At 53.7% G+C, this 15,143-nt stretch overlaps 1 protein-coding gene across 6 annotated transcripts, besides 5 other annotated features; it reads right to left on the bottom strand.

Moving 5' to 3' along the window:
- Nucleotides 1-1,465: 1,465 nt before the first annotated feature.
- On the bottom strand, nt 1,466-13,456 carry NMUR1 (neuromedin U receptor 1). Of its 6 annotated transcripts, XM_006712195.4 has the most exons (4): nt 13,370-13,456; nt 11,134-12,028; nt 3,968-4,078; nt 1,466-3,496 (listed from the first exon to the last, which is right to left on the bottom strand). In XM_006712195.4, exons 1-4 carry the CDS (start codon nt 13,370-13,372, stop codon nt 3,393-3,395), a joined length of 1,113 nt encoding a protein of 370 aa, XP_006712258.1. In that variant the 5' UTR covers nt 13,373-13,456; the 3' UTR covers nt 1,466-3,392. The 6 variants fall into 6 exon arrangements, with proteins under 6 accessions (XP_006712258.1, XP_006712259.1, XP_011508790.1 ...); XM_006712196.4 differs by lacking the exon at nt 3,968-4,078 and having other exon boundaries at nt 2,915-3,496; XM_011510488.3 differs by lacking the exon at nt 1,466-3,496 and having other exon boundaries at nt 3,508-4,078.
- Nucleotides 9,257-9,758: an enhancer, noted in NCBI's record as "H3K4me1 hESC enhancer chr2:232390957-232391458 (GRCh37/hg19 assembly coordinates)". NCBI's record gives its function as "activates a minimal SCP1, AML or CMV promoter by ChIP-STARR-seq in naive H9 embryonic stem cells {active_cell/tissue: H9 hESC(naive)}" and the evidence as "EXISTENCE:reporter gene assay evidence [ECO:0000049][PMID:30033119]".
- Nucleotides 10,864-11,391: an enhancer, noted in NCBI's record as "H3K27ac-H3K4me1 hESC enhancer chr2:232392564-232393091 (GRCh37/hg19 assembly coordinates)". NCBI's record gives its function as "activates a minimal SCP1, AML or CMV promoter by ChIP-STARR-seq in primed H9 embryonic stem cells {active_cell/tissue: H9 hESC(primed)}" and the evidence as "EXISTENCE:reporter gene assay evidence [ECO:0000049][PMID:30033119]".
- Nucleotides 11,392-11,918: an enhancer, noted in NCBI's record as "H3K27ac-H3K4me1 hESC enhancer chr2:232393092-232393618 (GRCh37/hg19 assembly coordinates)". NCBI's record gives its function as "activates a minimal SCP1, AML or CMV promoter by ChIP-STARR-seq in naive H9 embryonic stem cells {active_cell/tissue: H9 hESC(naive)}" and the evidence as "EXISTENCE:reporter gene assay evidence [ECO:0000049][PMID:30033119]".
- Nucleotides 13,284-13,713: a silencer, noted in NCBI's record as "silent region_12430". NCBI's record gives its function as "represses an Ori minimal core promoter by ATAC-STARR-seq in GM12878 lymphoblastoid cells {active_cell/tissue: GM12878}" and the evidence as "EXISTENCE:reporter gene assay evidence [ECO:0000049][PMID:35858748]".
- Nucleotides 14,408-15,142: an enhancer, noted in NCBI's record as "H3K4me1 hESC enhancer chr2:232396108-232396842 (GRCh37/hg19 assembly coordinates)". NCBI's record gives its function as "activates a minimal SCP1, AML or CMV promoter by ChIP-STARR-seq in primed H9 embryonic stem cells {active_cell/tissue: H9 hESC(primed)}" and the evidence as "EXISTENCE:reporter gene assay evidence [ECO:0000049][PMID:30033119]".

Here is a 15,143-nt window from a genome sequence, read left to right on the forward strand (position 1 = left end):
GGAGGATCACTTGAGCCCACCAGGAGGTTGAGACTACAGTGATCCCACCACTGTGCTCCAACCTAGGTAACAAAGTGAGACCCTGTCTTTAAAAAACAAAAATAAAAAGTGTCTTTTAATTGTTGGTTTGTTTTGAATTAGGATTTTAAAATATCTACACATTACATTTAGTTGATATGTCTCTTTTTTAAAAAAAAATTTTGAGCTGGAGTCTCCCTCTGTCACCAGGCTGTGCAGTGGCTGAATCGTGGCTCACTTCGACCTCCTGGACTCAAGCAGTCCTCCCACCTCAGCCTCCCAAGTAGCTGGTGCACCACCACACCACGCCAAGTTTCTTTATTTTTCATTTTTTGTAGAGAAGAGATTGCCTTCTGTTACCCAGGCTGGTCTCAAACTCCTGGGCCCAAGTGATCCTCCCACCTTAGCCTCCCAAAGTGCTGGGATTACAGGCATGAGCCACCACGCCTGGCCGTTAAATCTTTTGAAAACCTATAATCGAGAACCTCCCCTTTAAAAATGCCTTTTATTTGTTGGAGAAACTGTCAGTTGTCCTGTAGAATTGTCTCTAATCTGGACTTGGTTGACAATCTTGTGGTTCTTTACCATATTCCTTCATCAGTGTTTTTGTAAACTAGAGGCTTGGTTAGATTCAGGTTCAGCTGTTTTGCAAGAATTCTTTTTGGTGCTGTGTACTTCTGTAATGTCCCTCTAGGGGGCACTTAACCACTTCAGATCTGGTTGTTCCACATTCAGTGGTGTTAAAATTGATCAGACAATTTGAGTGTTGCCAGCTTGATCCATCCAGGATAACCATCAACCTTCCACTAGATGGTTTTAGGCCATTTTTTTTTTGTTTTTGGTTTTGGTTTTTGGTTTTTTGGTTTTTTGAGACAGAGTTTCCCTCTTGTTGCCCAGGCTGGAGTGCAATGGCACGATCTCGGCCCACTGCAACCTCCACCTCCCAGGTTCAAGCGATTCTCCTGCTTCAGCCTCCCGAGTAGCTGGGATTACAGGCATCTGCCACCACACCCAGCTAACTTTTTGTATTTTTAGTAGAGATGGGGTTTCACCGTGTTGGCCAGGCTGGTCTTGAACTCCTGACCTCAGATGATCTGCCCACCTTGGCCTCCCAAAGTGCTGGGATTACAGGCATGAGCCACCATGCCTGGCCAGCAGTGTTGTTTTACAAAGCAAATGATTGGGGATAATCTGTTACTCATTAAATTTTTTTTTTTTTTTTGAGACGGAATCTTGCTCTGTTACCCAGGCTGGAGTGCAGTGGCACGATCTCAGCTTACTGCAACCTCTGCCTCCTCGGTTCAAGTGATTCTCCTGTCTCAGCCTCCTGAGTAGTTGGGATTACAGGCGCGTGCCACCACGCACAGCTAATTTTTGTATTTTTAGTAGAGACAGGGTTTTGCCACGTCGGCCATGCTGGTCTTGAACTCTTGACCTCAGGCGATCCGCCTGCCTCAGCCTCCCAAAGTGCTGGGATTATAGGCATGAGCCACCGCGCCCAGCCTACTCATTAAATTGAAGGGGGGTAATATGCAGGAAAATGATGGAATCAAATTGCCAGAATGTTAACAGCAGTTAATTTGGGTGTTGGGAATGGAAGTAATTTTTTTTGGTGGTTTTTTGTACTTTTTTCAAATTTCCTGAAATGCAAATAAAAGAAATCCTGCCTGAACACATCTAAAGGAGGTGAGACGAACAGGGAGAAAGACTGGAGGGAAGGTTCCAAGTCCAAGTTCCAGGAAGGGTGGCCAGGGAAGTCCACGCGCCAGCAGTGATGATAGTGGACCTCAGTTGCTTTGCTTTTGTGTGTGCCTGTCCAGTGTTCATTCTGCCTCCTGACATCCCTCATTCCCTTTAGGCTCTCCACCTCCTCCCCTGATTCAGTTTTGGTGGAACTGCTTCCCTGGCCAAAGCTCAGGGGCCAGTCAGACCCTTCTCCCCAGGACTTGGGCGCATCACCTCCTCCTGGAAGCCTTCCCTCGGCTGGGGCAGGTGCCTCTCTTCGATGCCTGAGTTCCAGCTGTCAAAGCACTTATATGCCAGTATGTTTATCTGCCCTCTCCTTCACCCCGCCTCAGCCTTGAAAAGTGCCTGGCACATGGTTGGTGCTCAATAAATGTTGGATGAATGATGCCTGTGTTGCTTAGAGCTGAAGAAGGGGCTTGAATGTTAGATTAAAAGATTCCAGAAACTCTTGTGGATGTTCCATAGGATGTGGCTGCAGCTTCCAGGCTCTCCAGTCTAATTCCAGCCCATGGCCTCTTCTTATTGACCAGGGCGCACTTACCCAAGTTCGCCTTCCCTGAGTCCCCACTGTCCCGCACCTATGCGTCAGGCCTTTGATCCTGCCCAGTCCCCAGTTTTCCTGCCCTGCCTTGTGCAGAAACTTGAATGTTAGGTTGGGGTATTGCCTTGAAGGGGCCACAGAAAGAACATTTACTTTAGAGAGTCACCACCATCCTCAGACTACACCTTGTAGATTTAGAAACCTGGACACCATTTGGAACGATGTTGCAGACTGTCAGTGTTTGCCTCTGAGTCTCATTTGTGTGCAGGCAGATTGTACATTCTTTCTTTAGAAATGTCAGTACCTCTCAGTCCAGTCTGACTTTGGCCTTAGGTCATTCTGACATGTAAGGATAATTAGCAGCAGAACCAGGAGTCACAGCTGGGCAGCCCAACCAGAGAGTCCTTGCTCACCACCTCCACACTCCACTCTACTAACTCACAGTGTGTTAGAAGCACACTGGGGTTCTTTTCTTGTGCTGAAGAGGTTTAGACTGTTAGAAAAATGTAAGTATGAGTCAGGCGCAGTGGCTCTTGCCTGTAATCCCAGCACTTTGGGAGGCCAAGGCAGGAGGATCATTTGAGCCCAGGAATTCAAGACCAGCCTGGGCAACATAGTGAGACCCTGTCTCTATAAAATAAGATAAGAAGATAAGATAAAATAAAATAAAATAGTGTACGTATGTTTCTAGGATCAAATTCTGAAATCTGTCCTCATTTTTCCTGCCAGGAGGAGGAGGGGGATTAGAATAATTACAGAATATTACAGACTATAGTTTGCAGTTTAAAAGAAATCAATAATATTTGCTAATCTTAGAAACTGTAAAGATAACTGCTAGTAGAACAAACAGAATGTGTAACCTTCAAGCCAGTGGATAGATCAGTTAAGGTTCTTGGTTGCAAATGACTCCAGCCAACTTCAGCAGAAAAAGAACTTATTGAAATGCTCTCAGTAGCTCAAATATCAACAGGAAGGCAGGAAAAACTGGCTGAGAAAAAGGGCGGAACCCAAGACAGACTGGGCAGGATACTGCTGTCAGTGCTGCTGCCCCTGGACACGCCTGCCCCTGTTGTTGTGCGTCTTAGTGTCACTTGCTCCAGATACAGGTCCCACGTTGGGTCACCCAGCTGGCTTGGTCCATCATGTACCAATAGATGTCAGCAGTGGAGAGTGTCCAGAACTCTTTCACCCCTGTAAGTGGGAGACTGGGCTTAGTCTTCCACTGAGTCACACAATGAGAGATTCCCCCCAATAAGAAAGGAGTTCAAATGCTAGGGTGTGCCCCCTCTCCCCCACAAGGCAACTCCTCTCTACAAGGAAATTTGGTATATGTGCTGCTGAAGCCAGCACGCTACAAAGAAATTTGGAACAAGAACCTGATGGATCCATTAGAAGACAAGAATAGGGAAAGGGGAAGACTTGGAGAAGTGTACAAAAATGAGATAGGCTCCCAGATGCCAGGAATGATCTGGAAATGCCACCTGGTAATGAAGAGAACAGATGTGTAGTGCTACACACTTTACCTTTGCTGAGTAGATGCCTAACAGAAGGAAGGGTAGGCATATGCAGCTTTGTTTGTTGATGAGACTAATCTTGGACTTTCAATTTTCAAGGAAATTAAGCCTTTTTCTGAGAAGGGAAGAATTATTCCAGTGTACTCACCCTCAGGAACGCTGGCAGAGTAGGGTAGATGAACTGATGGTGGGATCAGAAAAGAAGTGAAGCTCAGAGGAGGCTGATGGATTGGGAGAAAGCCGTCTAGAACCTGGAAGTCTAGATGAGGTTAAAGAATAAATATGGCCGGATGCAGTGGCTCCCGCCTGTAATCCCAGTACTTTAAGAGGCCAACGGTGGGCAGATTGCTTGAGCCCAGGAGTTTCAAACCAGCCTGGGCAACATGGCGAGACGGTGCCTCTACAACACAAGAAAAACAATTAGCCAGGCATGGTGATGTGTACCTGTGGTCCTACTTGAGAGGCTGAGGTGGGAGGATTGCTTGAGGCCAGCAGGTTGACTGCTGCAGTGAGTCATGTTTGTGCCACTGCACTCCTGTCTGGGTGACCAAGCAAGACCCCATCTCAAACAAAAATAAAAGAATAAATGTGTCATAGGAGCAGAGAGCAGGATAGAGGCAGTAGCAGTCAAGAGCTCACACTTTCTGAAATGGGAGAGCACCTGGAGGCACAGGGAGTGAGGATGTGACCAAGGGGCTAGGAGACTGGGGTGGGGTCTCCAGAGCTGCAGGAACCATCAGTAGCTGGCACCCAGAGCAGCAGTGGGGTCACCCATGGACTCTGACGTCACCCAGGAAAGCAGCAGGAGTGGAGAAGAGGGGAAGTAGAAAGGGCCTGAACTCCACAGGAGGAGGAGGGATATGGTGACCTCAGTCGGAAGGGGAGGTGACTTGAGCCCCAGATGAGCTAGATACTTTGAGAAGCATGGAGGCCTCCTGACCTGGGAGTAGCACTGGGGACCAAGGAGAATGCAGCCCCAGCATGACCGGTGTTTTTGCCAGGTCTTGCTTCTGCCCTTTCCATTGCCATCCCTGTTTCTCAAGGGGTGAGTTCAGATCTGCTATTCCCGTTTTCCATGGGAACCAGTGACTGACAGGACCTGTTGCTGACGTGCTGCGGAGACATACATGGTGCTCACAAAGGGGCACCCTTCTTTTTTTTTCTCTTTTTTTTTTTTTTTTTTTTTTGAGACAGGGCCTCACTCCAATTTGCCCAGGCTGGAGTACAGTAGCACAATTTTGGCTTACTGCAGCCTCGACCTCCTGGGCTCAGGTGATTTTCCCACCTCAGCCTTCCAAGTAGCTGGGACCACAGGTGTATGCCACCACACCTGGCTACTTTTTGTGTGTGTGTATTGTAGAGACGGGGGTTTCACCATGTTGCCTAGACTGGTCTTGAACTCCTGAGCTCAGGTGATCCACCTGCCTTGGCTTCCCGAAGAGCTGGGATTACAGGCATGAGCCACCATGCCCGGCCCAGAGGGCACCCTTCTAACAACCCCACTGCCCGTCTGCTTGCTGCCTGCACATGGAGGCCCTTCATAATGCTGTCCAGGGTGCCTCGAGCATGAGGTGCCTCTGACTGTGGTTGAAGCAGGCCTCTGGGAGTCCAGAGCTGGTCTTGAGAAACAACTTCAGGGTCCAGCCTGCAGTTTGGGATCCGGCATCTCCCCCTCCCACCCCAAGGCTACTTCCCTGGGAGCTCAGGGGCAGCACTCAGGTGCTCACGGCTCTGCACAGCTTTTCACAGGCTCCTTTCTCTGCAGAATCTCCCTGTCCCTGCAGTCACTCCCCTCCCCTATCCCCCACCCTCCCCCAAGGCCCACTTCTTAGGAGCTGTCCCCACTCAGGGCTTGACTGTGCATTCAAGTCAGGGCAGGCTCAGGGCCCCCCACTGAGGAAACCACCTCCGCCAACCAGCCTCCCCTCAGCTCCCTCATCCACTCTCTGGCCTCCACGAGGTCCCCACTTCTCCCATTTTCTCCCATTGTCCTCAGTGTCCCCACTCCCCACCCCCAGCCTCTGTTGCTCTCTGTCCGGGAGCCCCTGTGCTTCTCCCAGAACTTGTCCACTGGGCAGGACTGACAGGCAGGACGGCTCTTCCTCCCCCGAGCCAGGGACTTAGTAGGCAGGGGGCATCCAGGCCTTCCTGGCCAGCATCTGGGAATTCACCCAGATGGTTTATGCAAGTCCTACTCCCCCAGGGCTGGCCAAGGCCCATCAGAGTGGATCCCATGAGTCAAATGAGTGCAAGCGTGAGCTTGGATAGAACATCCACTGGACAAAAGGCCAGATACAAAATTGTCTATGTGTATTGTGTATATAAAATAAAACCACCATATGACACATCACTAGGAGGAAACATGCCACTGTTACTGCTTCAGAGTAAAGTTATGGGTGGTTTTAATTTTTTCTTTCCTTTAGATTTAATCCTCTTTTTATAAAAATTGTGGTAAAATACACATAACATAAAATGTACCATCTTAACCATTTCAGTGTATAGTTCAGTATTGTTATGTATATTCATATTGTTGCACAACTGATCTCCAGAACTTTTTCATTTTGCAAAACTGAAACTCTTCACCCATTAAAGAACTCCTCACTTGCCCTTCCCCCATTCCCTGGCAAGAGAGGTTTTACATTTTTAAAATTGTTTTCATTTTTGCTTATTTGCACTTTCCAAATTTTCTATCATGAGCATTTATTATTTTTATAATTGAATTTTTAAAACTAAACATCTGCAACCCTGTACCACGTCCTCCACTTTCTCGGCAGGGAGCATGAGCTATGGGCATGAGCTAGGAAGCTGTCTGCAGGGAGAACCCAGACAGACCGACCGAAGGTCATCCTCCAGCTCCCAGCCTTGGAAGCCAGGGCTTCCTCTCAGGAGGACAAGACTCAGGGACTGCAGCAGGACAAGTTTCCTCCATGAACTGAGTCCTGGCTGAGCAATGACTTGGCCTGCAGGGATTCAGAATGGGGCTCAGTTTCAAGGACTACTTGTCCCTGTCCCTCTTCTCACTGCATTGAGTTCGGCAGAACCCTCCACAGGGTCACTCCTTGCCCTTGGTTGGCCATGTCTCTTGCCCTCAGAGACCCTCTGGCCAGCCAAGTCCAATGCTCTGCTCACTGGACTCCCGAGCCAGCCTGCACGTATGTGAGGACGGAGGTGGGCTGTGGTGGTGGGGTCTGCTTGCATGCTGGCTTTGCCCCACTTGTGCTGGGAGAGGCTGGGGAGGGCATGGGGAGGTCAGGGAGGAAGTGGGGCTTGGGGTTGATAAAGATGCAGATAATAACTTCCGCCCTTTCAGTCTGAGGGTATTGTTGGTTTTATTATAAGCAGTGGCTTACACACACACAGAAAGAAAACCATAGCTAAAGTGCCAAAGCATGACACTGTGGAAAGCCAGCGCCTCTTTCATTTTTCAGGCAAGGAACCAAGGCCTAGAAAGGTGGACTGATTGGCCGGGTGTGGTGGCTCATGCCTGTAATCCGAGGACTTTGGGAGGCCGAGGTCGGCGGATCACCTGAGGTCAAGAGTTTGAGACCAGCCTGGCCAACATGGTGAAACCCCGTCTCTACTAAAAATTAAAAAAAATTAGCTGGGCATGCTGGGGCTCACCTGTAGTCCCAGCTACTCGGGAGGCTGAGGCAGGAGAATCGCTTGAACCCCGGAGGCGGAGGTTGCAGTGAGCCAAAATCGCGCCACTGCACTCTAGCCTGGGCGACAGAGTGAGACTCTGTCTCAGAAAAAAAGAAAGGTAGACTGATATGCTTGATGGTGCATGACAAGGTGGTGACAGCAGGGCTGAGATTGGAACCAGGTCCCCTGGATCCCTGGGCCCCTGCCAGAACCTGAACAGGAACTGGGAAGGACAGTGAGGACCCAGTGGGACCGTTTCAGAAACTGGCAGTGGTGGCAGGGAGTCCCCAGAGGGAGGACTGCTGAGCCCCAGCTAACTGTGATATTTCTGCAGGGTAAGGATTTGAACTGGGGGAGTGGCAGTGGACAGATAAGAAGCACAAGGTGTGGCGTCTGGTCAGTGTGAGTCCTCAGCAGTCAGGGATCCCTCCTCCTGCTGTTTCCCTCTGAGGGAAACTGAGGTGCTGGTCAGAATTTCTAGGCTGAACTAGGGACAGTACGTGAAGGCATCCCTGCAGAGGAAGGCAGATGTGTCTCCCCAGCTCCAGGTGACCCTCTGGCCCCTCCAGGTGAAGCCACTTTAAGGCTCCACTCAGGATGGATCGGTCTCTTGCTGCGCCTCTGGGCCATCGTTCCCAGCCAGGGGGTGGACCCAGCTGCCCAGGGAGCCCACATCACACAGGGTGCTGCCTGTGGTCATCCTGCTGAGGCTGTGGGAGCTGTGGCGGGGTCTGAGGCGATGGCAGCAGGCCCCGAGGCACAGGGCCTCCTGGAAGGTCTCTCGGAAGCGGCTGGACATGAGGCTATAGAGCACGGGGTTGGCCGCCGAGCCCAGGTAGAAGAAGATGCCGGAGATGACGTGCACGTGCTGGAAGGCCAGGTGCAGGCCATCTGTCCACTGTGACACGACGCTCCACATGACGCGGTCGGCGTGGAACGGGGCCCAGCAGATGCCAAACACCACGACCAGGACAACTGCAGGGACAGAGAAGGGAGGCCGAGTGCCCGCCCGAGGCCCCTCAGCTGCCTTCCCGGGCTTCAGTTTGGGTCACCCATTTTCACATCCTCTCCTATCCCACAGGCCACCCTCACCTATCACCCAGGTGGAAGTTTCTGGAAATTTGCCTGTTCTGGCCATGCCTCTCTCAGAGAGGCTGCCCTCACCATGGTCACTGACTGTGGGCAATGGGGCATATCCCTGCCTCTGACCACAGCCAACTGGACCAGGTGTGGACACCTAAGCCCAGCCGGCCCAATCAGATTCTCTCACCCTGGAATATGAAATTGGGTGACACTTAGCTGTGGCTGTTGAGCTTCTGGGGTGATACAAGCTGTGGGGCTAGGGCCACTCTGGATGCCCACTTGGGGGCCATGCTTGCTGATGCATAAGTACAGAAAAGAAGAATGGGGCACGTGCTCAGAGAGCGGCAGACCGGAGGTCATGGGGCCAGGGAGAGTGAGACACACACACGCATGCACACACACACACATGCATGCACACACACAGACACACACATGCACACACACACACACTGCCTGCCTTGGCCCCGGCCTTTTCAGCTCCAGCCCCCAGCTCCCCAAGGCCCATCTGAATGTCTTGCCCTGCACTAACCTGCCCCCCATCTTACTTGCCAGGCCCTTGCCCACCCCCTCCCTAACAAAAGGTAGGAGAGTTTGGCAAACCTTCACTTTCTCCCCAAATCCCTCCTGCCTTGTTCTTACCCAACTATGCCCTTCCCTGGGTCTCTGCCACAGGGTCAGCTGTGATTTTTGTTCCTTGTTTCTTGGGTTTGCTGCTGCAACTCACTAGCTTTCCTGGGCAGTGTCTTCCCCATCATACCCTAGCATGGTTTTCCTCATAATCCCAGATTTCAAAAAGGACGTTGCTCACAACCTCCCTGGCCCCTGGCCTGGTGCACAGAGGGCCAGCGGAAAGTGGACAAGGGAGGGAGGGAGGGAAGAGAGAAGGCCAGCAAGCAGGAAGCCCACCTTCCAGGGGTGAGCCACCCCAGCTAAGCACCTACTGCAGACTCTGCCCACCCATGTTTTCAGGGAGGGGACGGGGTAGTAGGCAGGAGGCAGGGCGGCAGTGGGCAGCTGGTCCTGAGCACAGGCTTCACCGTGCAGAGCTGGGAGGCATGCACATAGCTCTGGGGTCAGCCTCGTTTCAGGAGCTGCACAAGAGACTGAGCTCTGGGACGGTGTCTGAGGGGTGAGAGGAGCGAGTCACTCTGGAGATGGGGCGGCCCCCAGTTAGCTGGCTCTGTCCAAAGTCTCAGTGGCCCTCTGCTGACCTGGCTCACCCCACTGGCCTGATTCAGGCTCTGCTGAGGTGGGGCTGAGCTGGGATGCAGGTAGGTGGATGGGGCGGATCTTTGATCGGCTTAGTATCAGTTTGTCTTGCTTCCCCAGGGCCACAGCTTTTGAAAAAGAGCCAGGTCCAGGCCACAGAGATCCAGAGCCTCATCCCAGTACCTTAGCCTGCCCTAATCCGCAGGCCTCTGGCCTGATCCCCTGTGCCTTGAGCCCGGCCTTCACAGACACGCCTCGGGATGGGGCTGTTTAGACAAATGGTCTCTCCTGCGGTTCCCAGGGAACCGCAGACATGGCATGGGGGAAATTCAGCACCTGGCCTCTCCAACACCCTCCTCCCCTTCTCTGGGGGACTTTGCTCCCCCCAGATCTCACTGTGTAGTTCCACTGGGGGCTGTGCACCTCGGCATCCTGCCACTCTGGCTCAGGAGGTGGGGCATGACCTAGGCCACGCCCATCAGAATCCTTCTTGGGATTTTTCACTCATCTCTAAGGAAAGACAGCAGTTCCTCAGGAAAGAAGATGGCGTGCCGGTGGCCATGCCTCACAGGCTGCTGCCGAGAAGAACAAGGCCAAGACACGTTAATAACCAAAGAGAGCCGGGTGCAATGGCTTATGCCTGTAATCCCAGCACTTTGGGAGGCTGAGGTGGGAGGATCACTTGAGACCAGGAGTTCAAGATCCGCTCTGGCAACATAGTGAGACCCCGTCTCTACAAAAATGAAAAAATTAGCTGGGCATGGTGGCACCTGCCTGTAGCCCCAGCTACTTAGGAGGCTGAGTGAGGTAGGAGGATCGCTTGAGCCTGGGAGGTTGAGGCTGCAGTGAGCCGTGGTCACACCACAGCCTGAGTGACAGAGCAAGACCCTGTCTCAAAAAAAAAAAAAAAAAAAAAAAGAAGAGGAGAGACCTGAGACCTGGAGGGTCCAGATCCCATTTTCTGTCATCCTGGAGCCCAACCACATGCCCTGCCCTTTCTGTGTTTTGGTTCCAGAGCCAGGGCCCCAAGTTTAGCAGGGTCCTGGGCTTGGTTTAATGCTCTGTTGTTGCTGTCTTGACATTCTTATTCATTTTTGAAAAAGGGACCCTGAATTTTCATGTTGCACTGGACTCCACAAATTACACAATCTTACCGTTAGCCATTAACAGGTATTTTTGGTGTAAGATTCTAGTAGGGTAATCTAAAAGAGTACACAGGAGTGCAACTCAGACACACACACACACACACACACACACGAGACTAGAGGAGTTCCTCGTCCCCCATAAACCCAGATACTCAGCCCCTTCTCCCAGGCCCCAGGAGCCCCAAACTCATACCCAGTGCCTGGCTCAGCCCCTCTTCCCAGCCGTGACACTTACACAGCATCTTGGTCACTTGTCTCCGGCCCCGATCGTGCTGCTGGAGCCTGCAGGTGTATCTGGACCTGGCTGCTGCAGAGCCCCTGCCCTTGGCCTCCTGCATGAGCAGCAGCCTCTCCCGCCGCAGTCGCAGCCCAATGAGCAGGTAGAGCACGCTCATGATGGCCATGGGCAGGCAGAAGAAGAGCAGCGCGGTGGTCTGCACTACCATGTTGTAGAGGGCCCGTGGGCGGACCAGCATGCAAACAGCTGAGTCTGGCACTGGGCCCCGGCAGGGCACGTGCAGCTGCCGGATGCCGTGCAGGCTGGTGTTGGGCAGGGAGCAGAGCATGGCAAGACCCCAGACGGCCCCAAGCACTCGGCGCACATGGGCCCGCGTCACCATGGACCTGGCCTGGAGTGGGTGCACCACGGCCACATAGCGTTCCACGCTCAGGGCAGTGACGTTGAGCACTGAGGCCAGGCAGACCATCTCAAACAGTAGCGTGCGGAAATAGCAGCCACCAACGCCCAGCAGGAAGGGGTAGTTGTGCCACATCTCATAGAGCTCCAGGGGCAGGCCCACCAGCAGCACCAGCAGGTCCGACACGGCCAGGCTGAAGAGGTAGTAGTTGGTAGGCGTGCGCATGGCCTTGTGGCGCAGGATGACCAGACAGGTCAGCCCATTGCCCACAGCGCCCACCACGAAGATCAGCAGGTATGTGGCACAGATGGGCATGAACAGCTCTGTCTGCTGGGGCCCCAGGTACTTGAGTCTCAGTGCCTCGTCAGTCAGGTTCAAGTCCTCAGGGTCAAAGTGCCCCCTGGCCGCACTGCCATTGCAAGCCATGGGGTTCCTTGCACCCCCTGGGTACAGGTCTCCAGGGAGGACAGAGCAATTGAGGCAGAGAGGAGTCTGTGGAACAGAGGGGAGAGATGCCCAGAAAGATCATTCAGGGAATGCTGGCTCTGTCCTCACTCATCAAGCCAAAGGTGACATTAGCGCTATGATGACCATTATTTTAGGCACCACTGAGAAAGAAAAAACTCTTCCATCCACAAGTCAGAGATGTAAAAATAAGCTTGGTGCAGTGGCTCACACCTGTAATCCCAACACTTTGGTCGAGGCAGGCGGATCACTTGAGATCAGGAGTTCAAGACCAGCCTGGCCAATATGGTGAAACCCCGTCTCTACTAACAATACAAAAAGTAGCCGGGCGTGGTAGCACACGCCTGTAATTCCAGCTACTTGGGAGGCTGAGGCGGGAGAATTGTTTGAACCCAGGAGACAGAGGTTGCAGTGAGCGGAGATTGTGCCACCGGACTCCAGCCTGGGCAACAGAGAAAGACCTTGTCTCAAAAAAACAAAAAGCAAACAACGAAAAAGTAAAAATCTACATTTAAAAAAAAAAAAACACGTGGGGTTTTGATTTTAAATTTCATGATCTATTGGAACCTTTGAGTAAATGACAGATCTTGGGTGTCTCCTCTTTCAAGCAATGATGCTAGATGAGGCACTCGTTTGGGCATCTGTAAAATGGGCACAATGCCTGGTATTGCAGGGTCTTCAAGAGCAAGCGCTCAGGAAGCAACTGCCTGGATTCGAATCCAGCCTCCCCAGTTCCAGGCTGTGTGACCTTTAGCGAGGTAACCTCTCTGAGGCTGTTTCCCTATTAGGAGGATCCAGGGAGTTTAATCCATTAAAGACATTAACACAGGGCCTGCCTGGCATACGGAAGGGCACGGGGATCACCCCCTTGCTCTGGGGACCCAGTCACTATGAGAGTCAAGTGAGGGAGTGTCAAGGCTACACACTACAAATGCTTCATCCACAAGTTGATTCTTTTTTCTGTTTTCTGTCACCTGAACTGTTCAGTCTCCATATTTGACGCCCTTGGCACTGCCAGTTCTGGGGTTCCCTCTCCTCTATTGAGCCCCACACCCTTCCTCCCGCCCGCCCTCACCCCCGCTGCACAGCAGCGCGGGAGCCTCGGGAACCAGTTGGGAACGCGCAGGCGCCAGCCCGGGTTCAAGGGAGGCGCCCTGGTCCTCGAGGAAGGGTCGCAAGCCCGCAGCCCCCCGGCGCCCCTGGCCGGAAGACACAAATGACCCGAGAAGTTGCGAGGCTCCCCGGTGGCGGGGACGGGGGGCACCCCGACGGAGCCCTCGGACCCTTCCCGCCCTAGGACGACCCTGCCCGCACCGAGCCCCGGCCCAGCTGCCGCGCCCTAGCCCACGCCGGCGCCTGCGCACCTACCATGCGGCCCGCGGCCCGCGAGACCCCGGCTTCCACCCTCCGAGCGACGGACACAGACGCGGCGCGGGAGCCAGTGGACTGACTGACAGCGGCCCCAGCCCGCGCCCCGACGCCCCGCCTGTCCGGCCGGGAACGCCGCCAGGGGGCAGTGCAGTCCCCGCAGCCCGGGCGGCGCCCCCTCCCGCACTGGCGGAGGACGCGGCCGTTGGAGGCGACACCTCCACAAGCAGCGTGGAGGCGACACCTCCACAAGCAGCGTTATCTGACGGAACCCTCACAACAACCCGTTTTACAGATGAGAAAACTGAGCCTCAGAGAGCCGCAGAGGAGGAGCCCGAGAGACCTGGGGCTCACATGTGATTCCCGCCCTCCAGCGTGCTGAGTTTAGCTTAACGCCGTCACGGTGTCCCTGCGGCCTCCAGCTCCTCCTGCCCCCCATTCAGACCCACCTCCAAGGACAGGGACGGCCCACCAGCCCCTTGAAGTCGACATGCCCCGGTGCGGTTCATCCTCCCAGGCTCCAGGCCTCTTCTTCTGTCCCAAGGCCCATGATTGCAGCCTCCGCAGCCCCTCTCACCCGCTGCTCCCTTCGGGGCCTCCAGTCCCTGAGTCCAGGCGCTCGGCCCTGCAGGACTGGGCAAGAGCCCCCTATTCTCCCTCCAGTCCATCCTCCCACAGCCACCAACGACCATCACCCCCTCGAAACCCTTCCTTGGGGCCCCCCCACTGCCTTCTGAAAAAGAGCACACCAAAGTCTAGCCTGGGGGTGGACCTCCCCACTCCTCACCTGCCTCCCTGGGCCACCCTCTCCTCACCATTGTCCTCAGCCCCAAATACTGTCCCCCTTATCCGTTCAAATGTTCTTCTGCCCCCATCACTGTACCAAGGGTGGGGGTATAGACAAGGATGGAGGGAATTTAGGGAAGGGTTAAGAATGCCCAGCCACAGCCTCCTGCTCCCCCACACTGCCCACATGCAAATCCCAGTGCCTCACCTGCTCCCACTCCCTAGTCCTGCAATCAGCTCCTTAGCTGGAAGCTGTTTCATCAGAAACTTCTAGGGACCCTAGAAATGACGGATCACACAGAGTAAAATGCTGGTTCCGGGGCCTTTGCCCAGAGTTTTGTCTCCTTAGCCTGGGCAAGGCCCAGAAATCCTCATGTTTGACAAACGCCCTCTGGAGAGCCCCATGCCCCAGAATCACACTGAGGAGCACCAGGAGAGGTTACAAAGCCACAGGACCCCGAGAGGCCACCGTGAGCTCAGAAGCTCTGTGTGCCTCAGTTCCCCTTCCTGTAGAATGGGCTAACCACCATCGCCACTATTGTGAAGGTGACATGAGACACTGAGCGTCAAGATTCAGCACAGGGGCTGGCACATGGCCAACACTCAAGAAATGTGGGGTGGGATTGTCACCATTTAGTGGCAACTGGAGGCTCCTCCTTCCCCCCGCTTTCCTGCACCCTCCTCCTCCCCACTGCCCCCCAATTCCATAAGTCACTGTCTGGGCTTGGGGATGGGAGTTAGGCCCTCAAGGAGCCTGCACCAGGCCGGCCTTCCCAGGAACTCCACATGTAAACAGAGTCCCAGGCAGGGGACGGTTGTGGGAAGTGCAGGGGCACGTGGTCCTCAGGGCCTTGGGAGAAAGGATTCTGTGGTGCCCTGGGAATTAACTACTCAGCCCCTGATGAGCTAGTCCAGGAGAAATCCTCAGTAACAGGGCTGCCAGCACAACAGACGGGCAAGGAGGGATGACATCACTCAGCATCAGAGA

This window comes from Homo sapiens, chromosome 2, assembly GCF_000001405.40.
Source record: "Homo sapiens chromosome 2, GRCh38.p14 Primary Assembly".
Lineage (NCBI taxonomy): Eukaryota > Metazoa > Chordata > Mammalia > Primates > Hominidae > Homo > Homo sapiens.